Here is a 27,390-nt window from a genome sequence, read left to right on the forward strand (position 1 = left end):
GCCCCCTCGCCACGCCCACATCCCCGTCTACCGTCGGGGAGGGGCGACGAGGCGAAAGCCTTGTGGACCAGGCCGGGATTGGTGGGCGGGACGGAAATGGAGCTGGGAGAGGTGACGTCACCTTCCGCACCTGGCTCAGGGCGGAAATGGGGCGGGGAGAGAGTGACACCACCCCTCTGCCTGTGGCTGGATTGGTGGGCGTGGCGGGGGCGTGGCGATGCCTGCCCTCCGGACAAGGCGGGGTTGGTGGCCAGGGCGACCGCGGGGCGGGCCAGCGCCGGGGGTCGTGGCCGGGACACGTGGTACGGAACCGGCGCCGCGCTTGCTGCTGGTAACAGGGCCTTGCCTAGTGGGCCTTCCTTCCCAGGTGGGTCTTCCTGATGGACCTTCCTTCCCGGGTGGGCGCCCTGAGCTGGGAACGGGCTGGGCGGGGAGGACCCGGGTCAGCGGCGAGAGTCACGCCTCATTCGTGGGGGAGCGTGGGGCGCCCGGCCGCAGCCAGGCGGGAACAATGGTGTCCGGGCTGTTCCCGAGCGCGCGGTCGGGGGCGGAGGCCCGTGACGGCCATGGCCCCGGGGCCTCTCGCACCTCCGGGCCACTCGTGTCCCAGCAGCGCCGAGCGCGTCCCCGGTACGCAGGGACAAGCTGGGCGGCGCACTTGGCCTGAGCCTGCGTGGCCCTCCCTGGTGGAGTCGAGTGGAACGACCCGGGTTGGAGATGGGGTTGCGGGGAGCCGAGCGCTGGTCAGGCCACACCCCTCCCCAGGGGCCTGCTGAGAACTCCAGCCTTTCTCCAACGGATCCCTTTCCCGGAGACCTGGGGTGGGGAGTGTGGCGGGACAGAAGCCTCCCAGGTTCAAAGGGCCCTGGACAGCGTCCCTAGCTCCCGCCAGCATTTGAGGCAGCGTTTAAGGCTATAGGAGGAAGCGTCTGAGGGGAGACAAAATTCCCATGCCAGCTTGATGGTCTGGGGCAGGTGTCTTATTCAATTGGCTTCAGTTTCCTCATCTGTGAAATAGAGACAATATTTGGTCCTCACAGACAGGGCCACCAAACCAAACTCCCCACCGCCTGCCAAGGTCAGATTCCGTAGATCATCCAAGCATAGACTGCAGGAAGAGGCGGAGAACCCGGGGCCTGCTACCAATACCTTCCTTGTCCCTAATGTTTGCAGGCAGGAGTGGAGGAAGAGAAGTCCACATTATGCTTAGGGATCAAGTTCTAGCTTGGGCAGATTGGAGATTCTTTTATTGGTTCTTAATCAGACATGAAGGTGTGATTCAGTTATTTGTGTTATATATGCCTTCAATTATCAAGGGACAGGGACTGAGATTCTCAGAACTAGAAGACTCATTTGTGTGTACTACTGACGGTTCCAGGTGCCACAGCAATTTCTCCTGCCCTCCACTAGTCTCAACATTTAAATCATGTTACTCCCTTGCCAGGCATGGTGGCTCATGTGTGTAACCTCGGCACTTTGGGAGACCAAGGCGGACAGATCGCTTGAGTCCAGGAGTTCGAGACCAGCCTGAGTAACACGAGCAAACCCCGTCTCTACAAAAAATACAAAAATTAGCTGGGTGTGGTGGTGCGCACCTGCAGTCCCAGCTACTTGGGAAGCTGAGGCAGGAGGATCATTTGAGCCTGGGAGACAGAGGTTGCAGTGAGCCAAAATCACAGCAATGCACTCCTGCCTGGGTGACAGAATGACAACCTGTCTCTAAATAAATAAATAAAGTTACTCCGTATGAACTTTAGATTTTTAGAGGGGAGTGAGGTGTCATTTAAAAGGATAATGCTTTTGCTTAAATCAGCATACTGCTTTTACCTTAATTAGTGGTGTTCTCCAGAGCATATAAAAATGGTTCCATTTAATGGCTTTGTAACGGGGGAGGTGGGGGGAAGTGAAACAGGAGTAACCCAGAAGTGTGAATGGGAGGAGAAACTGGAACCTGGCCTAGCCTGGTTTGACTGGATGAGTGATTAACAGGAGTTGCTTTTTAGCCCATCTCTGATGGTGGAACAATCTGATCCCTGTTTCCTCTCTTTTAGTGAAAGTCGTAACTTAGATAATTACAGTCATATGTTGCTTAAGGATGGGGATACATTCCAAGAAAATGCATTGTTAGGCGATTCGTTGTTGTGTGCACATCCTGAGCTGCGCTCACACAAACCTGGATGGTACAGCCTCCTACATACCTAGGCTATATGGTGTAGCCTATTGCTCCTAGGCTACAAACCCGTACATGTACCTTTACTGGATGCTGTAGGCAGTTGTAACACAGTGGTAGGTATTTGTGTATCTAAACATATCTAGACAGAAAATGAATTTTTTAGCTCCATTATAATCTTTTGGGACCACCGCTGTTGTTGATGGAAATGTTATGTGGCACGTGACTATATTTTTGAGTGACTTTAGCTACAATGCCACTGGTTAATTTGACTACAAGAGAATAATATTAATGAGAATGTACCACAGTGAGCTTGGGATTTGTGGCATTTAATAACCAGGAACCCAGATGAAAATCACCACATGTAGCATATTGTCCTGCTAAATAGGATTTCCTTTAATGTGAACAGGTAGCTTCCCTGCGTACATTTTTGGCAACAGGTGGATGACAGTGTTATTTATTAACACTGATAAACGCCTCTCCAGCGTGCTCATGGGCTCCATCTTACTTGAGGCTCCTCCAAATGAGTGCCTCAGCAGAAAGATCCGAGCTGGCTGGGAGGTATATAACCATTCCATGCTCTGTGGCTAGTGTTTGAAGAGGAGGAAGAGGGCACTTGAGAAGGCAGTGGTTGGATGTCCCACCCACATAGAAATCACATTTGCAACTTGCAGTGCCCTGCGATTTCATCACCCTGCACAGCAACAGCCACTTTTGAACAGTTGCCACGCTTGGTGTCGTGGTGGATAAAGTCACCTCTCTGTTGAGAAATCACTTTGAAAGCCTATACCAAGGAAACAATGCTCTTTACCTGCAGCATGTCAATGCACAGGCGTTTGTCTGGCATGTAGACACGAGGCTGTAGTAGGGTCCTGTCACTCCACAGCTGTGACTCTGAGGCACTTCATGTCCCCGCAGTTTTGAATTTGCTCCGTACAGCTGTGTGCTTTCTGCTGCGGAAAGCCAATTATAAAAGTCCCAATACCAGAATCAATTTTCCATTGTATTCATTGTGACTAACAAAAAGAGTCTGAGGATGTGTTTTCACCTCTATCTGTGAGTGGGGCGGAAGTTGCTGGGTGTCACACATGGAAGTGGGGTGAGAGCATGCGCGCTGGAGCCTGTGTGGCCTCTTGGTCAGGTGCTTGTGGAGGTTTAGCTGATGCCCTTTGGCTGTTTCTGGACTAAGATCATCAACTTTCTTAAACTGAATCTGGTTTTCCTTGGGCTCTGTCGTCTGTGTTGTGGGTTTGTGGTGGTGGACACAGGATGTGACATTCTTGCTGGGATCCCTGAAGTGACTATATCCTCTGCAATAACAGAAAGTGAAACTTATCTTTGTGCTTTAAGAGTGTAAAAATTTTTATTAAAGTACCAGTAAAACTAAAAGTGCCTACTTTTAGTTTTCACTGTATTTTCTTCAACTCAGGCCCTCCCTCTGTTGTTACCTGCCATCTGACACGGAATTTTGTGTAATTTTCCTTCCAAGTAAAGAAGGGAAGTTTAGCCCCAGCCTCTAACTGGTTCCCAAAGTTTTTGTCTCTGAAGCCGCAGTCACTTCCTGGAGCGTCTCTGGCTGGGTGTTGCAGTGCTGGCTGGGAGGGTGGGGCAACAATTTACAATTCTGAACACGTGCTTTCTGGGCAGGTCGCCCCTCAGTCTCCACTAGAGACAGGACTGACCAGTTGCTCTTCCTTCCAAGAACCTTCGAGATCTGCGGTCTGGGGTCTGGTTGAAAGATGGCGGCCCTCACTACCCTGTTTAAGTACATAGATGAAAATCAGGATCGCTACATTAAGGTAAGGGAATATTCATTTTAGGAAACAGTAAAATCTGATTTAATCCCATGGGGCCCAGAGAAGTTGTCAAGAGCTAATATGAATTATGCCATTTAAATCCAGGGTTAGAAGATCTGCCTAGAGATCTGTTCATTAGCTTCTTATTATGGCATAGGTTACACTTTTGGTTTTTGACAAAGTGTTAATGTATGTTTCTAAGAATAGCAAATCTAATTGAAATTTTTGTTTCATCTCCATCAACAATTTCTTGTGATAGTTACAGATTAAATAGTTTGCATTAAGTATGTTCTAAGTAATTCAATAGTTATATATTAATCTGTTTCTTGATGTTAACTTAGAGCATTATGTTTTAAAGTTATTCTTCGTACATACATTACAGATGAAATCTTTAGAATTCTCATGCTAAAATTATACTTTAGAAAATTTGGCCATTGTCGGGATGATAAATAAGCTAATTTGGACTGTGGCAACATTGGGTATTTTCTGTATCTTTCAGTTGTAATTTAGTCACATTCAGATAAAAACTTATTTACGGAACCTGGTACATTTTACATTTACTTCCTCCTTAATTGTTAAAAATAAACCATGTGACATTTTTCTTTTGTACTCTAGTTCTTGGTACAGGGTTAGTACTGTAGCAGGACAAGCCACAGACAAAACCTCTCAGACACCGAGTTGTAGAAGGAAGGGCTTTATTCAGCTGGGAGCATCGGCAAGCTACTGCCTTAAAATCCGAGCTCCCTGAGTGCACAATTTCTGTCCCTTTTAAGGGCTCACAGCACTAAAGATTTCACATGAAAGGGTCGTGATTGATTTGAGCAAGCAGGCAGTACGTGACAGGGGCTGTATGCACCGGTGGTCAGAGAGAAACAGAACAGGGCAGGGAATTTCACAGTGTTCTTTTATACAATGTCTGGAATCTATGAATAACATCGGTTTTTAAGTCATGAGTTGATTTTTAACTACTAGGTTTAGGCCAGGCAGGCCCGGGTCCGGTTTTGGGCCTGGCGCCGGGCTGCCTGTCTTTGATTTCACTTCCTTGTTTTTTTTTTGTTTGTTTTTAAACAGGTACTGAGTGTAAAACAATATGAGAGGGTCTCTCTCTTCCCTCAGTACAAACAGTTTTTAAAATCTTTAACCCAAAGCACACGTGATGGGTCTGTCCTATTTCCAATCAGCCTGTTCAACTGCAGCAGCCACAGAGGGTGAGCCTGGAATGTGGCAACGTTACGGGAGCCTCTTCTCCCTCAAGGACACCTTTTCAGAATCCCTCGTTGCTTCTTGTCCACAAACAGAAACTCGCAAAATGGGTGGCTATCCAGAGTGTGTCTGCGTGGCCGGAGAAGAGAGGCGAAATCAGGAGGATGATGGAAGTTGCTGCTGCAGATGTTAAGCAGTTGGGGGGCTCTGTGGAACTGGTGGATATCGGAAAACAAAAGGTAGGAGGCAACATTCTTTGCATTGCAGGACCGTAGACAGATTCTGCCTGAGGGGTTGACAAGACGCCACAAGTTCTTAAAAGATCTTTTGCTTCACATACCCCACTCACCTTTAAAACAAAAAAGGAAGGGCCTGATTTGGATGGTAAGTTCTGTACGTGACTGCTTCAGTTGGATTGGGGCAAAGGTTTTGTGGCACTCAGCATTTTTCTCCAGGAAGGAGAACTGCTGACAGTTACTCAGGACTAAGTTAATGTAACAGTCATTCTGAGAGAATGGCTGAGATTCCCCTCCCAGCAATCCATAAGCTTTCAAACTAGGAAGTTACACTTTATTCAAGTCCATTTAAAAATTATAAAGACTCCCCCCAACCCCCGGCTCCCCCTCACACACAGTGCTGCGTCCTTGAGCCTTATTTTTTTATTTTTTTTATTTTTTTGAGACAGAGTCTCCCTCTGTCGCCCAGGCTGGAGTGCAGTGGCGTGATCTCGGCCCACTGCAACCTCCGCCTCCCGGGTTCAAGCGATTCTCCTGCTTCAGCCTCCTGAGTAGCTGGGCGAGCGCCACTACACCCAGCTAATTTTTATATTTTTTGTAGAGACGGGGTTTTGCCATGTTGGCCAGGCTGGTCTCGAACTCCTGACCTCAGGTGATCCGCCTGCCTCAGCCTCCCAAAATGCTAGGATTACAGGTGTGAGCCACTTTTTCATAAGAGATATTTTGTGTGGGGGTCTGTTGTTTTTCAGTGCAGGATTCTGACAGGTGAGAATGGTTTGTTTTCTTGCTAAATGAACAGTCTCACTTTGTGGTACAGTAAGTACTCACGTCATCCATAGGTTCTTAGAAACTGCAACTTTAAGCAAGACAACATACAACAACAGGTCCTTGAATAAGGTAGTTTTGTTCACTTAAAGTCACAGTTTCTAAAAGCCTATCCATGAAGTTGAGTGAGGACTTACTGTGTGTGTGTATATATATGTGTGTTTTTTTTGTCTTTTTGGTTTTTTTTTTTGTCGGGATGGGGTTTCACCATGTTTCCAGGCTGGTCTCAAACTTCTAGTCTCAAGCGATTTACCTGCCTTGGCATCCCAAATTGTCACGCCACCATACCCGGCCTCTTACTGTATGTTATTTCACTAGTTTATTTCAAATGATTTCAGCCTTATGTTAATTGCATGTTTCATGCCATATATTTTCAAAGTTTGTAATATTCTTTTATATTCTTTGATCTAATGATAAGCTATGGCTTATCTCGGTTCTTTGGCCTGATGATTTGGGTGTCAATCTGAAATCACAGCACTAGAAGCTTGAGTGTGGCCATTCAGTTCAGCGCATTCGTTTCATCAGAGGGAGAGAGTGGAGGCCAGGCAGCTCTGTCCACTGGGAGCCCACAGGAGGCTCATGCAGAGCAGGTTCATGCCCAGGCCTCCTGATTCCCCAGGCAGTGCTATTCATTTGAGGTTTTCTTCTGAAAACAAATTTAATAATTGACTTAGGGTATATTATAGCTTCCCACCAATTTTCCCCCCATCTTTGGGAGACTAAACCAAGTTTCTTCATGTTGTTTCTTTTTAGGGTCAGACTCACCTTGCTCCCTTTCGTTTTTTTTTTTTTCCTAATATATTGAAAAATCTAGGTGAGGTAAATCATTTTTAGGAGTTGTTTCATTACAATAGTTATATTTACTTCGTTGATCACTGACATTGCTGTGCAATTCTTAAGAAAGGGCCTTTCATAAAAAACTAAATTACTGTTATACTATTTTGAATTACATAACACTGATTTTTATCAAGGAATTGAAATATTTCATCACTGGTGGAATCTTCTGCAGAGATGCTTGCGGTGTGGGGTGACCACACATCTTCTGTTCTCTTCCCGCATGTCCATGTGGCAGTGGTGTTCTGTTTTTCAGAGTGATGATGACTTGATGCAGGGGTGAAGGTGGAAGTGGGTGTTTTCCTGTGTCAGTGCAGAAGTCAGAGTATTTTCAGCTGATGAAGGAAAGGTGATGTTGGGCGTTTCAGAACAATTTTACCTGTGGGCCAAAGCAGTTTCTCAGAAAATGCCTAAGTATTTCAGAGGAGCCCTATTGAACAGGAATTTATGTAGAGAAAATCTGTGGTCATTTGAAAATCATTTTTCTGCTCAGGCAAGCTGAGGGCCAGCTGGGACTGCCAAAGCCATGGGTTCCCTGGGACCAGAGCAGAGAGATTTCAGCCACAATTCTTTGTCCCTGGTGGGTACAGGCTGTCCTGGTGAGAACTGAGGCACAGATACAGCCACAGTGACGCTGGGACAAATGAGGGGCGTCAGGCCATACACTGCACACGCAGCCACAGTGCCGCTGGGACAAATGAGGGGCGTCAGGCCACACGCCACACACGCAGCCACACTGCCGCTGGGACAAATGAGGGGCGTCAGGCCACACGCCACACACGCAGCCACACTGCCGCTGGGACAAATGAGGGGCGTCAGGCCATACACTGCACACGCAGCCACACTGCCGCTGGGACAAATGAGGGGCGTCAGGCCATACACTGCACACGCAGCCACACTGCTGCTGGGACAAATGATGGGCGTCAGGCCATACACTGCACACGCAGCCACAGTGCCGCTGGGACAAATGAGGGGCGTCAGGCCACACGCCACACACGCAGCCACACTGCCGCTGGGACAAATGAGGGGCGTCAGGCCATACACTGCACACGCAGCCACACTGCCACTGGGACAAATGAGGGGCGTCAGGCCACACGCCACACACGCAGCCACAGTGCCGCTGGGACAAATGATGGGCGTCAGGCCATACACTGCACACGCAGCCACACTGCCACTGGGACAAATGAGGGGCGTCAGGCCATACACTGCACACGCAGCCACACTGCCGCTGGGACAAATGAGGGGCGTCAGGCCACACGCAGCACACTAGCAGCCTTCAGGTTGCAGGGGTTACTTAAATTACTGGGAACACAAATCCTGGATCCCATAAGAATCCCAGCCACCTGCCCAGTTTCGTAAAGTGCTTGTACACTTAGAGCTGGAGGCCCTGCAGTTTGGAAGGGACACTTTTCTCAGCCTATCACCAGCACTGTCCTGATCCAGTTGTCATTTCAGTGACTGCTCATTTTACCTCTTAATTGCAAACTGTTAATTTAACTTCATTATCAATTTAGTTTTTGCGTTGTGTCTGTTAATACCTATTTTCATGAACAGTATTTTCTAGCAACTAGACTAATATATATGTATGTCATGTTTTAGTATGAACAGTCTCTTCCTCCTACAGCTAAAAGCATCTCCTGCCACTTGCTTGTGACACTTTGTGATGATCATGGGGTATTTTCCTATTGGAATATAGGCACTGGTAGAGGAGCTACATGGCCACAGGAGTTTTGCACAGCCTGAGTAGGCCATAGTCTAAAGTAAAAGGTGGAGACCACTGACCTGATGTGAAAACTGGAAAAGACCTAAGATTGATTTGCCTCCATTTAGATGCAGGGGTGGGCTGGGATGCCTGTCCCATTCTCCATTCCTATGGGATTGTGGAATATTGGTAGTGCTTCTGGGACAAAGCTCAGAAGGCGTACCTGCTATCACTAACTTTTTAGAATGGCTAAATGTGAATTTAGGTATAAAGATTTTTTTATATATATCTTGGTTTATGGCATTTTCCATGCATAATTGTAATCAATGTACAGAATTTCAAAAATACCTCTTCTGATTTAAGATTATAGTTTATTTTAACCATCATTTCAGAAAATAATAAACTAAGTTGCATCCCGAACTCAGCCTGCGTGTTTTGTTATATAAAAGTCAAAGAAAAACCAGCCTTTAAGAATTTACCAAATCCAGCCAGGTGCAGTGGCTCATGCTTGTAATTCTAGCACTTTGGAAAGCCGAGGTGGGTGGTTTGCCTGAACTCAGGAATTCGAGACCACCGTGCGGGCAACAGTGAAACCCTGTCTCTACTAAAATACAAAAAATTAACCAGGCATGGTGGCCGGCACCTGTAATCCCAGCTACTTGGGCGGTTGAGACCTAAGAATCGCTTGAGCCTGGGAGGCAGAGGTTGCAATGAGCTGGGATCACGCCACTGCGCTCCAGCCTGGGTGACAGAGCAAGATTCTGTCTCAAAAAAAAAAAAAAAAAATTTACCAAACTGCCTGCAATTGGCAAACATGTACATGTGCTCTGGAGTACAAGAAAGTAAGAAAGTAAATCTTAATTAGTGACTCCATTGAACAGTGTGCTCTTAAACTCTACAATAGAGGTTGATTGATAAGGACAGATAAGGAAGCTCAAGGTCTTTTAATAATCTCCACCTTAAGCACTGAATTTCTTAAACAAAGGCTGTCCTTGGTTCCTTTCCTCTCCATGCTCAGCTCCCTGATGGCTCGGAGATCCCGCTCCCTCCTATTCTGCTCGGCAGGCTGGGCTCCGACCCACAGAAGAAGACCGTGTGCATTTACGGGCACCTGGATGTGCAGCCTGCAGCCCTGGAGGACGGCTGGGACAGCGAGCCCTTCACCCTGGTGGAGCGAGACGGTGAGCGCCGCGCGCCTATGCGTGCCCAGAGGAAAGGCACTGACTTTTGGAAAGTCATTGCTAGTCCGTTTTTCTGTTTCCAGTACAGACTGTTTTTATTTTATTTTATTTATTTTATTACTTTTTAAAAATCTTTTTTTGAGACAGAGTCTCACTCTGTAGCTCAGGCTGGAGGGCAATGGCAAGATCTCAATTCACTGCAACCTCCGCCTCCCGGGGTTCAAGCGATTCTCCTGCCTCAGCCTCCCCAGTAGCTGGGATTACGGGCGCCCATCACCACGCCTGGCTAGTTTTTTTATTTTTAGTAGAGACGGGGTTTCACCATGCTGGCCAGGCTGGTCTTGATCTCCTGACCTCAAGTGATCCCCCCCACCTCAGCCTCCCAAAGTGCTGGGATTACAGGCTTGAGCCACCACGCCGGGCACAGACTGTTTTTAACGTAAGCTAGAAATGGAGGTTTCTTACAGGTGCCTCTGTTGCTGAACTTCCAGAAAGCCTGCCTTTTCCTGTGCAAATGAGCCCCCCGTGGCTGGCGTCTGCCAGGCTTCCTCTACTGCTGATGCTTTTTCTCAGAATGCACATTTGGAATCCAGGCAGGGCCTTCCTGAAAAGCCTGTCCCCTTGTCCCCCTCCCCGGCCCTTACCAACAGCTGCTTCTGCGGTATATGTTAGTGGCCTCCTTCACCCTGGCTGCCCCAGTGGGGGTGGCGATGTCCCTGTTATTCACCAAGTGCTTCCGTGGGCCTGGCACCTGCAGGCCTTTTGAGGCCCGTGCTATGAGGGACCCCGCAGGCCAGCCTCTTTTCTTCCTGTTCCTTCTGGTGTAAAGGCCTTCTGCTTTCATTTCTGAATTTCCACATGTGCCTGCACGGGAGGCTTTGACCAGATGAGGAATCCTCCCACCCTCATGCTGGGCCCCTCTGGGCTAAGTTCCAGGCTCTTCTCATCGAAGCCCTTCCAACTGGATCATTGCATCTGTGTTCAAACCTTTCCTGGCCCAGTGTCAGTTGTGTTCATTACTGTGCAAAACTGAAACTGACTTTACTTAAAGCAACATTTTTTATGAGATGTAATTCCATGTCATTGTCCTTGTCACGGTGGAATTACTAACTTGCGGTGGATTGTAGGATTAACCCTCTCTGTGCACTTGGGCGCCCCTCCAGCGTCAGACCCACCTGTCTGCTTGGCCGTGCCCTCACTCCTGGAACTCGCTCTCTCTGGACAGAAGTCTTTGTCTTTGCTCCTTGTCCGCTGTCTTACAGTCTCCGCGGATGGCACCATCTCTCTGCCACCTGCACTGGGAACTGGGTCCCCATCCCTGCCAGGCTCTCCTCTGGGACCACTGCCCTTCCCACGTTGAAAGCTCCCTGTCCCCCTCACCCACTCCGTGGCTGGGTCCTGCTCTCCACTTCTGGGCCTTCACGGTGCCACTCCTTTTCTGGGCTGCTCCCAGAGTGACCTCAACATGCCACTTCTCTTCTTGACTCCTCTTGGGGGACTCAGGATGGCACAGAGGGTCCCTCCCCTCACCTGCCTTCTGCCTGCCCCTTCTCCCACCTGTACCCAGCCACACGGGACCACGTGCAGCCCCCAGGAGCCTGTGCTGCTCAAAACTGCACCTGGGCACCTGCGCGGGCGTCAGCCCCATCACCGCTGCCTCGTCCTCTGTGAGGCCTGCCTCCAGCCATCCTCTTAGCCCTCCCTGTCCCAGTCTCAGTAGGCTCCTGACTGTCAAGGAACCTAGAAGAGCACCTGTACTGTGGGAAAACTTCACTCACTGCCAGCCGCCCGGCCTCCCTCTCCTTGTCAGGGAGCCCTGGAGGGTGGGGGCAGGTCACATTTGTCGGCAGCTCTGAGCCAGCACCGTGCCAGCCGCTGTAGTTGTTCAGTGTTTGTTGTAGGGATAAGGATTGTTGTTTTAGAAAAGCTTATATTTGATCTTCAGTTTTTGTGAAAAGTTGGGTTTCATTCGTCAAAGGAAATTCCCCAGGTGGTGATGACTTTCAGCCTCATACTACCTTGGGCTGGGGCCTGCTGAGGCTGCGGGACCTGGGAAGCAGGCTGAGCCCCGGGAGGTCAGGAGACTGGCCACGCAGACCCAGGCCCACGAGAAGGCCACGCCTTGAGGACGGCTCCCTCCTCTGGTTCCATGAGGCCGGGACTGCGTGGCAGAGGATGGAGGAGGCGTGGGGCCTTGTCTTCAAGTTGTCGCTTGTGTTGTCAGCTTCCCCAGAAGCAATTGTGGTGAGGGGCCGCTGTGACTGATGACGCTGATTAGAAGCAGCGTCTTGTCTGTAGTTTTCAGAGTGATAACTACAGAAAGAAAGAAGCAGAGGTTAAATGATAAACATGTTCTTTGTTTTTTTATCAAATTAGGTGTCACAATTGGGTGGGGGTGAGATTATGGTTCTTTTTTGACAACGGTGCCTTGAGGTTCCTAAGTGACTGGGCTTCCTGTCCCCATTGCTCCCCGCTGCTTCTGGTAAATGGGTTTTAATGAACTAAGCAGCTGGCTGCGACTCCCTGGAGTTAGACTGGAGGTCTCCACCCTGACCCAGCAGGAAGCCATGCCCCCACCTGACCACCGTGACCACGGTGGGAGAAGGAAGGGGTTCTTGGGAGCATCCACGTGGCTTATCTCTTTGATGATGCCAAATTCTCTGACAAATTTAACGATAGTGTTGGGTGGAAATTGGGGGCTCCTGATCGGAAGGGGAAGCCTCTCTCGTGTTTGCTTGGCTAAGGGGTTATCAGATGTGCACCTGAGACACGCTGCTTCTGGGTTCCTTGTAATCATCACTTTATGAATTTGTGGATTGCTGTTCTAGGCAAGCTGTATGGGAGAGGTTCGACTGATGATAAGGGCCCGGTGGCCGGCTGGATAAACGCCCTGGAAGCGTATCAGAAAACAGGCCAGGTATGCCCCCCACGCTGACTTCTGCCTGAGTCCTGGGTTCCATCTGAGCCATACAAAGACAGGCTCTCTGTTCACACAACAGCTTATAAAGCTCACAGGAAAAGATAAGACAAGCGTCCCCCAGCCCTTATCAGCACAGATGACTCGGATGTAAGAGTATAGGTTTGTTTTCCAGCTTTAGGAAACATTCAAAGTGTAATTGTTTTACAGCTGCTTAAAGGTCACAATATTGGCGACTCAGCGTGATTTTTGCCACCGCATGAAATGTGACTTTTCAGTCCCTGCCTGTCTCTGTGAGTGTGGTCCCTTGCCAGAACATAGTGCAGGCTCTGTCACATCACACAGGCCCCTCACTGTCTCTGTGTGGTTTACGTCCTCCTAAAAATAAATTCTGATTTTTAAAATGTATTCTCTGGCTGGGTGCAGTGGCTCACACCTGTAATTCCTTTGGGAGGAATTACTTTGGGAGGCTGAGGTGGGTGGATCACTTGGGGTCAGGAGTTCAAGACCAGCCTGGCCAACATGGTGAAACCCCGTCTCTACTCAAACTACAAAATTAACCGGGCATGGTGGTGGGCACCTGTAATCCCAGCTCCTGGGAGGCTGAGGCAAGAAAATCGCCTGAACCAGGGAGGCAGAGGTTGCAGTGAGCCGAGATCATGCCACTGCACTCCAGCCTGGGTGACAGGGCGAGACTCTGTCTCAAAAAAAAAAAAAAAGCATTCTCCTACCTGTGAAATATCTGTTCGTTGTTCAAAGTTTGCTAAAAAACGGACAAGTAGAGAGAAAAATACTTGCCTAGAATCCAAAGACAGTTAGTATTTTGAAATCTACCAAGATTTTCTGTTGCTTTTTTCCTAGTTGTGATCATGCTGTATAGACATCTTTGCATCTTGCTTTTATCTTGTATCATGGTGACATAAGAATAAGATAAGCATTTTTGTCAAAGCATGGAATGTTAGGTCTGAAAAGGGTCTTAGCCCTGCTGGTCCGGGGGATTACTTTACATGGTGGGGAGGTGACACCCAGAACCACCTGGCCTGGTGCGGCCGAGCCTGCATGCTGGGCGGGAACTAGGAAGCCTCCCCAACCTCTGGCCCCGTGGAGCCCTCAGCCTCAGCTGCAGTGGAGGCACCTCGGGCTCTGGGGCAACCAAGTGTGACAGGTGGCTGTGCACGGGCAGAGGTCCTGTGGAAGATTTCATGTGACGGGCAGAAGAGGAGGAGGAGGCAGGGGAGGAAGCACATCCATGAACAGGGCTGTCTGGGGGCAGCCTGGGTGGTCGTGAAATAGGACTCAGTAGCCTTGAGTCCTCATTTAGGCCCTGATGTTCTTTAGCCTGCCTGGCCTTTGGCAAATCGCCAGCTTCACGCACAACCTCATTTTTCACCTTTGGGTGTGGGGGTCAGAGTCGGGAGAGCACCTGCAAAGCCACAATGATCCAGACACACGGCAAGGTGGGCACATTCCCATCAGGCTCCTCGGGGAGAGCAGCGCTTCTGTGCCCGGGAGCAGCGAAGGTCACACAGGAGGACCCGCACCTCCTCGTGTCGGTGGCTCCGCTGGTATAATCAGGACTCACGTGGTGTTCCTCGTGTCGTGGCCCTTATTGCAGAGGGAGCAGCACAGGCTTTCCTGGAAGCTCCCCTCGGTCATGTGGGGTGACTCCAGAGAGCCCCACCTTGCGAGACTGGACCAGTCCAAGTGGCCTGGAGCCACAGCGGCCTGGCAGTACCTGGGGAGGGGGTGATGACAGGTGCACACGGAGGCCCATGTGGTCTGTCTGGAGAATGCCGGAGATGTGAAATATGTAATCCTGAGTGTGGCTTCTAGAAGGAAGGTTCGCAAAGCTGAATATCCACTCGTGCTGTTCCCTTCTCACAGGAGATTCCTGTCAACGTCCGATTCTGCCTCGAAGGCATGGAGGAGTCAGGCTCTGAGGGCCTAGACGAGCTGATTTTTGCCCGGAAAGACACATTCTTTAAGGATGTGGACTATGTCTGCATTTCTGACAATTACTGGCTGGGAAAGAAGAAGCCCTGCATCACCTACGGCCTCAGGGGCATTTGCTACTTTTTCATCGAGGTACAGTGCCAAGCTGTACGGGTCACTTCTTTCTAACCCCTGAATCTCCCGGTTCTCCCAAACGCAAAGTAGACAAGGACCCAGAAGTCAGGTGCACAGGAAGGAGAAGCACAGGGCTCACTTAGTGCCCCAATTCCCAGCTTCCATAAACCACCGTCCTACACCAGGGTGGACAGCAACACTTCCAGTGATCAGAAGTTAATCTCACAGCAGCATCAAGGTAGGACAGTGTGATTTGTAATGTTGCTTTGGAGCGGCTGAGAGGAGATTAAATGCTAGTTCATTTCAGAAGATGCAAACACATACAAAGCATTTTAGAAACACTTCCTTTTGAAGGTGGAAATATTTATATGTTAGCACTTAGGCTCCTTATCCCATGACTAAGTGACGCACGGGAAAAAGAGAAACCGAGGCCGGGTGCAGTGGCTCACGCCTGTAATCCCAGCACTTTGGGAGGCCGAGCCAGATGGATCACTTGAGGTCAGGAGTTTGAAACCAGCCTGGCCAACATGGTGAAACCCCGTCTCCACTAAAAATACAAAAAGTTAGCCAGGTGTGGTGGCAGGTGCCTGTAATCCCAGCTACTCGGGAGGCTGAGGAAGGAGAATCGCTTGAACCCGGGAGGTGGAGGTTGTAGTGAGTGGAGATTGCACCATTGCACTCCAGCCTGAGCTACAGAGCGAGACTCCACTTCAAAAAAAAAAAAAAAGAGAAACCGAGGCAGCACCAAGAGTGGGAAGGGACAGGCCTGGCTAGATTCTGCCACTCACTGGCTGGTGGTCATCTCCCAATACCCCACAGGATGACTGTGGTGATTAAATTAGGTCCTGTCTGCAGACGTCATTTATAACCTGAACAGTGCTAGAAATCACTGCAGTTGCTGCCCTGAGCCCTCACTCTGAGCAAGGTACTGTTCTGGTTTTAAAAGTGGCTGCCTGTCATCCCCAGTGCTGGGAGGAGCACTACGCCTCTTCCCATTTGCAGGCGAGGAGGCCGGGCACTCAGCAGGCAGCTGCCCTACGCTGGGTATGCAGCTGCTCAGTGCAAGGGCGAGGTCCGACCCCAGGTCTCCAGCTCCAGGCTTGTGGTGGGTCTCATTCCTGTTGGGCTGCCCTCTCAGCAGAGGTGCAGGGTCTTTGTTAAACTTCTAGCAAAGGCTTTGAGTGGTAGGCAGATTGCCCTGTGGAATGCTTGTACCTGTGGCTAGTGTTACCGTCTTATCTGTGGTTGGCATATGCCACAGATAAGCTGGTATGTTTTTGTTCCTGCCTAGGTTTTTAATTTGGGAAATGCCTTGCTTTGCTCCCTGAGGGAGCAAATTTTGATTTGGGAAATTGTCAGGCCTTGTAAATGCTCTTTGTTGAATTTACTGTCACATGATAAAAATAAGCTCCCACTAGGCAGCCAGACACAGTGGCCTTTGTTTCCGTGCAGGTGGAGTGCAGCAACAAAGACCTCCATTCTGGGGTGTACGGGGGCTCGGTGCATGAGGCCATGACTGATCTCATTTTGCTGATGGGTAAGTGCGGGATGGCATTCAGTCCGCAGTTGAGGGGAAGTGGATGGGCGTGACTTCCAGGCTGTCTGTCATCAGCATTGGGTGCATTTCAGCATTCCACATGAACCAACTTCTGTCTCAGTTTCCTACTGTGCCTCTCCCTCCTTCCACTCACTTGTCCCTCTGAGAGGCCCCCTTGTTTGATTTTTGCCCCTGAAACCCTCCTGTGCCTGTCACCACCTGGTGAAACCTTGCCCTGCCTCCAGCACCCAACTCAGTCACCCCCAGGTCCTGTCTGGCCAAGCCCCTCGAGGCACGTGGTGCTGTCCTTTCTCTGGTGTGGTCATTTTCCATCTCTCTCAGGGCGTGTGTTTTGGCCTGTCTTATGTATAACTGGCCCCATCCAGGTCCCCCCGCCTGATCAGCTCTTTGAGAGCGGGCATAGCCCATCGTGCTGTTCCCGGTGTCCTCCTGCTCTCAGGCCAAGCACAGCCCTCCCTTCCCGCACCTTCCACAAGCTCTCCATTCCTCCCTGCCAACGCCAGCTGCCTGCGTGACGTCCACTCTGTTATACCCACAGTTTACCCCCCTCAGCTCAGGAGCAGCTTGTTTCTTGTGGAATGCGCATTAAAAAGGCACATGGGGCAGTGTGGTGGTTGTTAGAGTGGGGCTGCGTGAAGCCAGTCTGCTGGTTTGCGTCGTGGTCTATGACCAAGGACAATTTCCTTTCCCCACTTGTTCCTCAGTCTCCTTACCTGAGAAATGGGAATGCCCAAGCTGCTGCCTCATTGGCTGTTTGGCTGATTACATCACTGGCTGAGCCTGAGGCCCCGGACGGTGCCTGACAGGCGATATGTGCATGGGATGCATCTGCGAGCATCATTCTGTGGACGCTTGTGGCTGCTCTTGGCCCCTCCTCAGCCACGTGGCTGTGGGGCCTGAGCCGCATCTCTCCTGAGCCTGGCTTCCTGGGGTCGGTGCAGGAAAGAGCAGCTCGCCTTGGTGCGGCCTCCCCTGAGTGCTGTAACCCTCTCCGGCTTCCCTCAGGCTCTTTGGTGGACAAGAGGGGGAACATCCTGATCCCCGGCATTAACGAGGCCGTGGCCGCCGTCACGGAAGAGGAGCACAAGCTGTACGACGACATCGACTTTGACATAGAGGAGTTTGCCAAGGATGTGGGGGCGCAGATCCTCCTGCACAGCCACAAGGTCTGGTTCAGGGCTCGACTCTGCCACCTGCCCAGGCCACGCTGTGACACAGGTGTCCCCCAGGCCCTGTCACCTTCCCTGGGTCCAGGGGGTCTCTGAGGGAAGAGCTGGAATGTCCGATGCACATGAGTCACTCAGAAAGCAGACTGTGACCAGGTTGCTGGTCGTTGGAATTTTTTAGTTTCAAAATCTACTTTTGATTCCATCAGACCTGGAGAAGCATGCAGAGGGGACATGGGCTGGCTCCTGCTGGCAGCGGCTCTGCTGTGTTTGTGTTTATAGAGTAACCTCCTTACCGCTGGGCCCAGGGCTCATTTAAGCCACATCAGAGCCAAGTGCTAGGTGGAAACTGTGCCGAACGTTTACCTAACTTAGGGGAAAAGTGGGTCATGACTTTTCTCTTAATAGGCTGTAGGTTTATGCGGTACATATGTAAGTTCTGCAGGCTGTAGGGTTATGCGGTATAGATGTAACTTCTGCGGGCTCTAGGTTTATGTGGTACAGATGTGAGTTCTGCGGGCTATAGATTTATGTGGTATGGATGTAAGTTCTGCAGGCTATAGGTTTATGTGGTATGGATGTAAGTTCCGCAGGCTATAGGTTTATGTGGTATGGATGTAAGTTCTGCAGGCTGTAGGTTTATGCGGTACAGATGTAAGTTCTGCAGGCTGTGGGCTTATGTGGTACGTATGTAAGTTCTGCAGGCTATAGGTTTATGTGGTATGGATGTAAGTTCTGCAGGCTATAGGTTTATGTGGTATGGATGTAAGTTCTGCAGCCTGTGGGCTTACGTGGTACGTATGTAAGTTCTGCAGGCTATAGGTTTATGTGGTATGGATGTAAGTTCTGCAGCCTGTGGGCTTACGTGGTACGTATGTAAGTTCTGCAGGCTATAGGTTTATGTGGTATGGATGTAAGTTCTGCAGGCTGTAGGGTTATGTGGTATGGATGTAAGTTCTGCAGGCTATAGGTTTATGTGGTATGGATGTAAGTTCCGCAGGCTGTGGGTTTATGCGGTACGGATGTAAGTTCTGCAGGCTGTAGGGTTATGCAGTATAGATGAAAGTTCTGTGCCATTGATTGAGCCAGCATCAGTTGAATTAAGCAACTCAGCCCCTGGGACACAAGGGAAATAAGGCCCGGCTGGGCTCTTGAGTTTTGTCTCCCAGAGACAGACAGGCAAGAACTCTGGAAGGATATGCTGAGGGCCACGCTGGGCAGTACCAAAGGCTGTGGGCCTGCACGAGGGGAGGGTCATGGTGCTGGGAGCGGCTGAGGCTCATCAGGGTCCTGTCAGCCAGCAGAGGTGCAGGGCAAGGCTGGCATGCCCGGTCAGCAGGAGCACAGACATATCAGCTGCTTAGGGACAGATGGGCAGCAGGGTGAGGCCTGGGACTGAGACCGACATGCCGGCCTGATGGCCTGGGCGCTGCTGTGGAGCTCCGGGTCTTCCAGGAGATGGTGAGCCCGGCCAGGATTTGAGTTCATCAGATCTCACATTGGGAAAGATCATGGGTCAGGATGTCAGAGCTGAGTCGGTGGAGCTAGGAGACCCGTTAGGCTGTTGCAGGCACGGGAGCCTTGGCTGGCATCAGGGAGGAGCCTCTGGAATAGGAAGAGAAGGTCCCCACCGGCAGTGACTGGACAGTGATGTCAGGGACCGAGGGGTTGGGCACGGGGAGGAGCGGGCCTGGGAGAAGGTGGGTCTGTTTCTCCTGCCCTGACCCTCAGGCTCGTGTTTGCTTCTGTGTACAGTGTTTTAGGGCCTTGTCTGTTCCTCCCAGATAACACTGAGCTGTTTGGTTGACAAACAGAAATCTACACATTCAGTGGATAAGTCACTGAGGAACCTTCTGGAAGCCCCCTTTGGGGGCACACCTACTCTCTTGACCCACCTTCTGCTACTGCAGGGATGCAGGGGGCGGGGGCAGGCAGGAAGGTCATGATATTGATGACACACTTGGGAAACAGGAGATGAAGTCTCTCCTGGTCTGAGGAGATGGCATCATCGGTATTCAGGGGGCCATACCGGATGTGCTGGTCAGCCTGGCTCTCCTCTCTCAGTAGGAACGGGCTGCTCGCCTGTGTCCCATGGGCCTGGGAGAGGCCTGCACACAGCCTGGGCTGCATCCCCTCTTACTCCTGGTGCCTCTGGCTCATCAAGAGCTCCAAAGTCTGTGGGACCTTGACACCCCCAGTTCTACAGGTGCTCAGTGGCCAGCGTGGCTCGCCTAGTTCTGCCAGGTGGACCTGAGCCACCCACGCTGCAGCGACGGGCAGTGAAATGCCTCACCTGAGGGTGTGCAGCCTGTCAGGGGCCTCCTTTGTGCTGAGTCACTCACTGCAGTCGCACCTGCACCTGGACCTCCTGCCTGTGGTTGTCAGGCTCCTGGGCCAGGCCCTGTTTCATACCGCTCATTTCCCAGACAACATTCCCAGCTCCTCGGTGAGCAGACAGGGCTGGCACTGAATGCCTGAGGTGTCCCTGACCCTCTGATTTTTCTGCAGAAAGACATCCTCATGCACCGATGGCGGTACCCGTCTCTGTCCCTCCATGGCATCGAAGGCGCCTTCTCTGGGTCTGGGGCCAAGACCGTGATTCCCAGGAAGGTGGTTGGCAAGTTCTCCATCAGGCTCGTGCCGAACATGACTCCTGAAGTCGTCGGCGAGCAGGCATGTGGGGCTGGGACACGGGGTGGGGGCCAAGAGCTACTGTGTCCGGGCAGAGACTTGGGTAATATAGGCTGTTACTCGACAGACACCCGGGCCATGCATGCCCCCGCTTCCTGGCTCTGGCCAAGTCAGTAATTATGACAGTCACGGTTCAGAAGCTAATCAAAGATAATGCATCACATGTAAGTGACCTTTGTTACTGATGAGGCAGGCCAAAATCTGGCCTTTGACCTCACTCACCTCAAGGCTCCAGGCCAAACACCAACTTTGGACCAAGCGTGTTCTGGTCAGAGTCCCAGAGCCGCCCCTTACCATGGTGCCTTGTGGAGGGGACTCTGGTGGCTGGAGGTCAGCCCAGCTTCTGACTGTCCCCCTCAGCTGGGATTCCTGGGGAGATGGAGTCTTCCCACTGGGAATGGGAGCCTGGGGCTCACCCTTCATGCTGAATACTGAGGTCTTGTCACGAGGAGGTGTCCCCGGGTCAGCGCCTGGCTCTATCCTGGGTCTGGATGCAGTGTAGCCTGTGGTCATTGATTTTATGAAGTACCTCGGTCTGCTCAGGCTGCCACAATAAAGACCACAGACGCGGTAGCTTACGTGGCAGACGCGATAGCTTACGTGGCAGAAACGGATTCCTCACTGTTTCGGAGGCGGATGAGTCCAGGACCAAGGTGCCGGCAGCTGTGGCATCTGACGAGGGTTCCTCCTGGCCGTGGCCGCTGGCCTCGCTTGTCCTCACATGGCAGAGGGCAGGCTCTCGGTATCTTCTCACCCAGGCCCACCCTTCTGGCCTCATTTAACCTTTGTCTAAATAAGGTTTAGAAAGAGAAAAAAAAACTACTAAAGAAAAAAAGCTAGGCTTTTAAAGAATTCAAGTTAGTTTTATTCAGGCGCCTCACTGAGGAATGCGGACTGCGGCCCGGGGCCCAGGAGCAGCCTTGGAGAGGTTTGGCTGGGCTGCTCTGAGAGAGCGGCTCAGCCCGCAGCTCATCTGCAGGTGGAGGAGCTTCGGTGCGTGCTGAATCACATCGCACCTGCTCAGATGTTACATTCCAGCCAAGCCACACTGAGCCTCGGTGTAAGAGCACATGTGGTCAAAGGTCACAGAGGCGCAACCACTAATGCGGTCAGGTGCTATCTTATGTGTGGGAAAAGGTAAGGACAGGGTCATTTATCTCCTAAGGAATGCAGCGACTCGGGCAAGAGGCAGGGGTGGTGTGTGCTCCCCCGTTTTGTCTTCAAAGCATCTTTCCTGAGAGCTACAGGTAGTGGCAGGGTGGAGCCTGTGAAAGGCCGGCAAGCAGAATGGCGCAAACGCAGCTTCTCACATTTGTGACTTTGTCTCACACCTTAGTTACTTCTGTTAAGTCCCCAAGTGTAGTCATAATGGAGTTTAGGGCTTAAATATATGAATTCTGGGGGCACGCAAACATTCTGTCCATAATATAAAGCAGGTCAGGGAAGATTGTTTTTAAACTTAATTTAAATAGTATCATCATTTAGAAGATCTTTGGAAAGAGTGAATTGCTTGATATTAAAACTTTGTCTTTTACTTTGAAATAACTGGGTTTTATTTTTTGATAAGAAGTCCCCTCTTTCTGGCCGGGCGCGGTGGCTCACACTTGTAATCCCAGCACTTTGGGAGGCCAAGGCGGGCGGATCACGAGGTCAGGAGATCCAGACCACGGTGAAACCCCGTCTCTACTGAAAAGACAAAAATTAGCCGGGTGTGGTGGCGGGCGCCTGTAGTCCCAGCTGCTCAGAGAGGCTGAGGCAGGAGAATGGCGTGAACCCGGGAGGCGGAGCTTGCAGTGAGCCGAGATCACGCCACTGTGCTCCAGCCTGGACAACAGAGCGAGACTCCATCTCAGAAAAAATAAAAAATAAAAAAAGAAGTCTCCTCTTTCCTTACTCTAGTTATGTAGCTCAGTATTAAGCAACAGAAAATGAGACTCATCGTAGACTCAGCATAGACCCATCACAGACCTGTCAGAGGCCGATTGTAAGCTCGCTGTAGACCCATGATAGCAGACCCGTAGGTCACTAGCACTGGATCAAATGCAAGCTTATAAAGCATTGTATACCTCTATTCTATTTGTGGTTTAGGTCACAAGCTACCTAACTAAGAAGTTTGCTGAACTACGCAGCCCCAATGAGTTCAAGGTGTACATGGGCCACGGTGGGAAGCCCTGGGTCTCCGACTTCAGTCACCCTCATTACCTGGCTGGGAGAAGAGCCATGAAGACAGGTTGGACGCTCTCCTTGTGGATGATGCCGCGCAGGGCCCTTCGCACGTCTGACAGGACTCTGCTATATCGCGTGGGCGTGTAGCTATGTCGGGGGCGCTGCTGTATCGTGGGGGCGTGTAGTTAAGTCAGCATGAGGACAGCTAGTGTGTGGGATGAGCCTGGACCCCTGGCGGACCTTGAACGCGGGCTTGCTGTCCCCAGGGCCTTGCACAGCATCTGACTGAGTGCTACTGAGTAGTGGTCTGAGACAGATCCCCAGCCTTAGGGCCCCAAAGCTCACCGTTTATTTTATTTCATTTCCCCCCAGTTTTTGGTGTTGAGCCAGACTTGACCAGGGAAGGCGGCAGTATTCCCGTGACCTTGACCTTTCAGGAGGCCACGGGCAAGAACGTCATGCTGCTGCCTGTGGGGTCAGCGGATGACGGAGCCCACTCCCAGAATGAAAAGCTCAACAGGTGAGAGTCCAGGGTGCGGCCCAGGTTGGCGTCTCCTGCACAGCGTCCCTCTCGCCCCTTCCCCTTCCCCCCGTGTGCAGCTGCCAAGAGAAGCAGGTGGGGGTGATGGCCCCGTGACCTGCCCTCCTGTATTTGTGTGAAGTGGGAACTTCAGATGGGAGGCAGGACGAGGCCTTGCAGGAGAGGGGTGCTAAAAACAAGGTTCATGCAGTGTTTATCTCTGCACTTCATCTACCCCTCTCTCCATTTCCTTTTTTTCCTGTTCATTTTTCTGTTTCCTTTTTGAGGAATTGCAGTGTCATTGCTAACTGCACACGTTGCTGCTTTGACACATCCCTGACTTGGGCGGACGTGATGGGAATTCTTCCCACAACGGGGCGGGTGCAGCCTCTGAGCCAGCCTTGGGAGCAGGAGGGGCCCACCAGGCAGGGGTCTTGGGTAGTTCCGGGGGAGGCCTCTGGCCCCTAAAATTGCTGAGGAGGGCAGAAGGCAAGAATGCATCCTGGGGTAACCAAGGCAGACGATCAAGGACTAAGACAGAGGCAAAGACCCTGCAGGAAGGAGGGAGGGGTGACAGAGACCTGGCTGCGAGGACCAGTGGGGAGGCCTGGTCTTCAGAAACAAGCGGATAATGGGAGGAGCCCACGATCCGAGCTTGACGTTTACTACCGGGGCACTAGGGGACCAGGATTGGTCTCTGGGCTGGGCAGTCAGACTGAAGCTGCACTTGAGAACCGGGGTGCTGAATTCTGAAGGCAAGCAGGGCTCAGGGCCCCCAAGCTGGGATGGGGGATGCTCCCCAGGAAGAAGGCAGAGTGTGTCTGGGCTCGGGAGGAGTCACCCCACACCTGGGTGTTGGCTCACGACACCAGCCAACACAATGATGTGTTCCTCTCTACCAGGTATAACTACATAGAGGGAACCAAGATGCTGGCCGCGTACCTGTATGAGGTCTCCCAGCTGAAGGACTAGGCCAAGCCCTCTGTGTGCCATCTCCAATGAGAAGGAATCCTGCCCTCACCTCACCCTTTTCCAACTTGCCCAGGGAAGTGGAGGTTCCCTCTTTCCTTTCCCTCTTGTCAGGTCATCCATGACTTTAGAGAACAGACACAAGTGTATCCAGCTGTCCACGGGTGGAGCTACCCGTTGGGCTTATGAGTGACCTGGAGTGACAGCTGAGTCACCCTGGGTAAGTTCTCAGAGTGGTCAGGATGGCTTGACCTGCAGAAGATACCCAAGGTCCAAAAGCACAAGGTCTGCGGAAAGTTCTGGTTGTCGGCCGGGCACCACGGCTCACACCTATAATCGAGCACTTTGGGAGGCCAAGACAGGAGGATCACTTGAGGCCAGGAGTCTGAGACAAGCCTAGGCAACAAAACAAGACTCTGTCTCTACAAAAAGTTTAAGAAATGAGCCAGACATGGTGGTGTATGCCTGTAGTCCCAGCCACTCAGAAGGCTGAGGCAGGAGGATCGCTTGAGACCAAGAGTTTGAGCCTGCGGTGAGCTGTGAATGCACCACGGCACTCAAGCCTGGGCAATGTAGCAAGATCCTGTCTCTACAAGAAATTTTTTAAAAATGAGCCAAGTGTGGTGGTGCATGCCTGTAGTTCCAGCTACTCAGGACACTGACGTAGGAGGGTTGCTTGAGACTGAGAGTTGGAGGCTGCGATGAGCCATGAATGCCCCACTGCACTCCAGCCTGGGCGACAGAACGAGACCCCATCTCAAAAAAAATAAGTTCTGGTTGTCATTGAATTGGGATAAACAGAGAGCTTGATGCTTTCTGCCTTCTGTCTCAGGTGATGCATTGCACATTTGGGATATTTGGAAAGGAAATGAGGAAAGAAATTAGGGCCTCCTCTGATCTCTCGCTATCTGCGGGTCCTGTCCTTTTCTCAAGACCTTCACCATTACTGGCATTTTCCTGTCTTCTCTTTAGTATGATCCCTCAAAACCTCACTAACTGGAAGGATGATTTTGTCTCAGTTTGTACTCCTAAATAAAAAGTAAACATGACACCTCTAAAAGAATCGCTCCATCTCAGTTGCTCGTCGCGTGCACACCATGCTTATTGAGTGGTGTCTGGTTGGTGGTGTCAGCTCAGGGCAGGGGACAGCAGGCAGGACCCGGAAAACAGAACCCAGGTCTTCCCAGGCGAGCACTCCCTCCCTCGTCCACACAAGTGGAGGCTCACTCGTGGCCCCCTGCATGTTCCGAGAAGTGTCCCTGTCTCTGCTCCTTAACGGCTGTGGGGCCACAGGAAGTCCAGCTGGCTTAAACAAAGAATTGATTGGCCCACTTGACATAAAAGAACAGAGTAAACTCAATGAAAGGAAAAGGCTCCTTGAAGTGGTTGGTTCCAGGGCTGGGCAGGGAAGATGCAAGATGAGTCTGGACCCTCTCACATCGGAACGTAAGGATGCGCTCCTGAGGGCGTGGGGCTGCGTCCAAGGACACAGGAGCCAGCCTGGAAGAGTTTGCAGGGGCCCAGGGGAGCAATTGGAGTGAGAAAATAGCAGTAGTGTTGGATTTTTACCATGGAATAAACAACAATCCATGAGTCCATACTAATATAAATAAAGTGACAAAGTGGGTGAGAAGGACCAGTGCCCCTGGATGAAGAATCTCTGCTCATGTGGGAGGAAGGTGGGAGATCAAAGCTGGAGCACTTGCTGCTGCAGGTGAGACCCCTGACACACTCTCAAATTGGTAGGCAAAGGTTTAAAGAACGGGATATTTGCTTAGCTTAAAAGCACCTCCCAAGGGGAAAACAGTAACTTCACAGTGGAGAGACCTGGCAGGCACCACCCTCAGATCAAAATGAACCTCAGCAGTAATGACACGTCCACATCAGCACCCCCAACACCACTCCCTGAGGAGGACATGCCAGTTCTGGGAACATCACACTCATCGTGACAAAACATCAGACAAACCCAAACGGATGAAATGTGAGGAAAATCTGTAGTTGGTTTTACGTGGATGTTAATCTCTTAGTTTTGATCATTGTGCTGTAGCTGCATAAGAGGTTAGCTGGGTGAAGTGTATCTGGGGACCCTCTATGGCTTTTGCATCTTTTCTCTAAGTCTCCTGTCATTTCAAAGTAAAAACAAAAAAAGAAGACAAGGGTAGCGGCTTCAGGTACAGCTGGACCCAGCACTCAGTGCTATCTGGGCTTGTGGCTCCAACTCAACTCCTCCATCAGAACTGTGAGAAATGCATTCTTTCAGCTTCTAATCCTGCAAAAAGAACTGCATGGTCTTCCCCCAGAAATCCTAAGAGTAGCTGCTGGTGTCTCATGCATGCGAGCTGCATATGGGCCCCCGTTAGTCAGGAACCCATGCTGAGAGGTGCTATGCTTTGAATGTTTGGCTCCTCCCAAACTCGTGTTGAAACTTAATAGCCATTGTAACAGTATTAAGAGGCAGGGCCTTCAAGAGCTGGTCAGGCCATGAGGGCCCTGTCCTCCTGACTGAGTGAATGCTGTTATTGTAGGAGTGGGCTTGTTTGGCCTCCTCTTGCTCTCTCTACCCCTCTCTGAGCCCTTGTGTTGTGGGATGACACAGCCAGAAGGCCCTTGCCAGGTTCCGGTCCCTCCACCTTGGACCTCCCAGCCTCCCGAACGTTGAGCCAATACATCTCTGCTCATTGTAAATTACCTAGTCTTGGGCATTGTGTTACAGCAGCAAAAAGCAGCCTACGGCAGTCACCGTGCTAACACCTGCAGCAGCCTGCGGCGGTCACCGTGCTAACACGTGCAGCAGCCTGTGTGGCTCAGGCCAGTCAGCTTCCCCTGGAAGCAAGTGTGAGGTCGTCGCCTCTGGAAGTGCTAGCGGAGGGTGATCTCCCGGAGGAAATCAGAGTGGTGTTCTACTAGAAGGCCGATGACTCCTGGGTAAAGTGCCAATGCTCACCTCCATCTCTGCAAGCTCAGTCCCTCGTGGAATTTCCAGGAGCACAAGGGCAATCTCGACAGCTCCACGTTCCCAGTGCCCGACCCAAGCCTGGCCCATGATCAGATAAATGCCTAAGTGGGGTGGCATGGACATTTGCACACGTCCAGACTGCTTTATGTTAGAAGCTGAGCTGGCATGCCACTAGCTGGTTTTGATGTAAACAACAATTTTGTAAAACCCTGGACTGAATGGGTCTGACTAACGGCTGGTTCTGTGAACTTGAGCCTCAGCGTCCTGTGTCAGAAGAGCACAAACCACTTTCCCAGAGAGGTTATGAAGACAGAAATGACCCTGTGACCCCTTTGCAAAGTATGAAGAACGGTTCCCACTCATGCATGGAGCTGGATCTTCTCAAGTGGGAAACAGGCGTGGTAAATAAATACTGTTGTTTCAGCTGGTGTAA

At 51.1% G+C, this 27,390-nt stretch overlaps 1 protein-coding gene across 8 annotated transcripts, besides 9 other annotated features; it reads left to right on the forward strand.

Annotated features, from left to right (window-relative positions):
• Positions 125 to 634: a silencer, noted in NCBI's record as "silent region_9543". NCBI's record gives its function as "represses an Ori minimal core promoter by ATAC-STARR-seq in GM12878 lymphoblastoid cells {active_cell/tissue: GM12878}" and the evidence as "EXISTENCE:reporter gene assay evidence [ECO:0000049][PMID:35858748]".
• Positions 125 to 924: a biological region, named in NCBI's record as "H3K27ac hESC enhancer GRCh37_chr18:72163711-72164223".
• CNDP2 (carnosine dipeptidase 2) lies at positions 299 to 27,390 on the forward strand. Of its 8 annotated transcripts, NM_001370249.1 has the most exons (14): positions 299 to 367; positions 1,445 to 1,531; positions 2,052 to 2,286; positions 3,873 to 3,969; positions 5,265 to 5,408; positions 9,785 to 9,947; positions 12,776 to 12,864; positions 14,749 to 14,949; positions 16,384 to 16,468; positions 17,495 to 17,655; positions 20,164 to 20,328; positions 22,435 to 22,576; positions 22,885 to 23,032; positions 23,935 to 27,390. In NM_001370249.1, exons 4-14 carry the CDS (start codon positions 3,910 to 3,912, stop codon positions 24,002 to 24,004), a joined length of 1,428 nt encoding a protein of 475 aa, NP_001357178.1. In that variant the 5' UTR covers positions 299 to 367; positions 1,445 to 1,531; positions 2,052 to 2,286; positions 3,873 to 3,909; the 3' UTR covers positions 24,005 to 27,390. The 8 variants fall into 8 exon arrangements, with proteins under 8 accessions (NP_001357178.1, XP_047293580.1, NP_001357183.1 ...); XM_047437624.1 differs by having other exon boundaries at positions 299 to 2,286; NM_001370254.1 differs by lacking the exons at positions 1,445 to 1,531; positions 2,052 to 2,286 and having other exon boundaries at positions 3,818 to 3,969; positions 14,749 to 15,169.
• Positions 412 to 924: an enhancer, noted in NCBI's record as "H3K27ac hESC enhancer chr18:72163711-72164223 (GRCh37/hg19 assembly coordinates)". NCBI's record gives its function as "activates a minimal SCP1, AML or CMV promoter by ChIP-STARR-seq in primed H9 embryonic stem cells {active_cell/tissue: H9 hESC(primed)}" and the evidence as "EXISTENCE:reporter gene assay evidence [ECO:0000049][PMID:30033119]".
• Positions 765 to 814: a silencer, noted in NCBI's record as "silent region_9544". NCBI's record gives its function as "represses an Ori minimal core promoter by ATAC-STARR-seq in GM12878 lymphoblastoid cells {active_cell/tissue: GM12878}" and the evidence as "EXISTENCE:reporter gene assay evidence [ECO:0000049][PMID:35858748]".
• Positions 1,308 to 1,407: an enhancer, noted in NCBI's record as "active region_13497". NCBI's record gives its function as "activates an Ori minimal core promoter by ATAC-STARR-seq in GM12878 lymphoblastoid cells {active_cell/tissue: GM12878}" and the evidence as "EXISTENCE:reporter gene assay evidence [ECO:0000049][PMID:35858748]".
• Positions 3,327 to 3,526: an enhancer, noted in NCBI's record as "active region_13498". NCBI's record gives its function as "activates an Ori minimal core promoter by ATAC-STARR-seq in GM12878 lymphoblastoid cells {active_cell/tissue: GM12878}" and the evidence as "EXISTENCE:reporter gene assay evidence [ECO:0000049][PMID:35858748]".
• Positions 3,567 to 3,736: an enhancer, noted in NCBI's record as "active region_13499". NCBI's record gives its function as "activates an Ori minimal core promoter by ATAC-STARR-seq in GM12878 lymphoblastoid cells {active_cell/tissue: GM12878}" and the evidence as "EXISTENCE:reporter gene assay evidence [ECO:0000049][PMID:35858748]".
• Positions 13,940 to 14,441: an enhancer, noted in NCBI's record as "H3K4me1 hESC enhancer chr18:72177239-72177740 (GRCh37/hg19 assembly coordinates)". NCBI's record gives its function as "activates a minimal SCP1, AML or CMV promoter by ChIP-STARR-seq in primed H9 embryonic stem cells {active_cell/tissue: H9 hESC(primed)}" and the evidence as "EXISTENCE:reporter gene assay evidence [ECO:0000049][PMID:30033119]".
• Positions 14,442 to 14,941: an enhancer, noted in NCBI's record as "H3K4me1 hESC enhancer chr18:72177741-72178240 (GRCh37/hg19 assembly coordinates)". NCBI's record gives its function as "activates a minimal SCP1, AML or CMV promoter by ChIP-STARR-seq in primed H9 embryonic stem cells {active_cell/tissue: H9 hESC(primed)}" and the evidence as "EXISTENCE:reporter gene assay evidence [ECO:0000049][PMID:30033119]".

This window comes from Homo sapiens, chromosome 18 (assembly GCF_000001405.40).
Source record: "Homo sapiens chromosome 18, GRCh38.p14 Primary Assembly".
Taxonomy (NCBI): domain Eukaryota; kingdom Metazoa; phylum Chordata; class Mammalia; order Primates; family Hominidae; genus Homo; species Homo sapiens.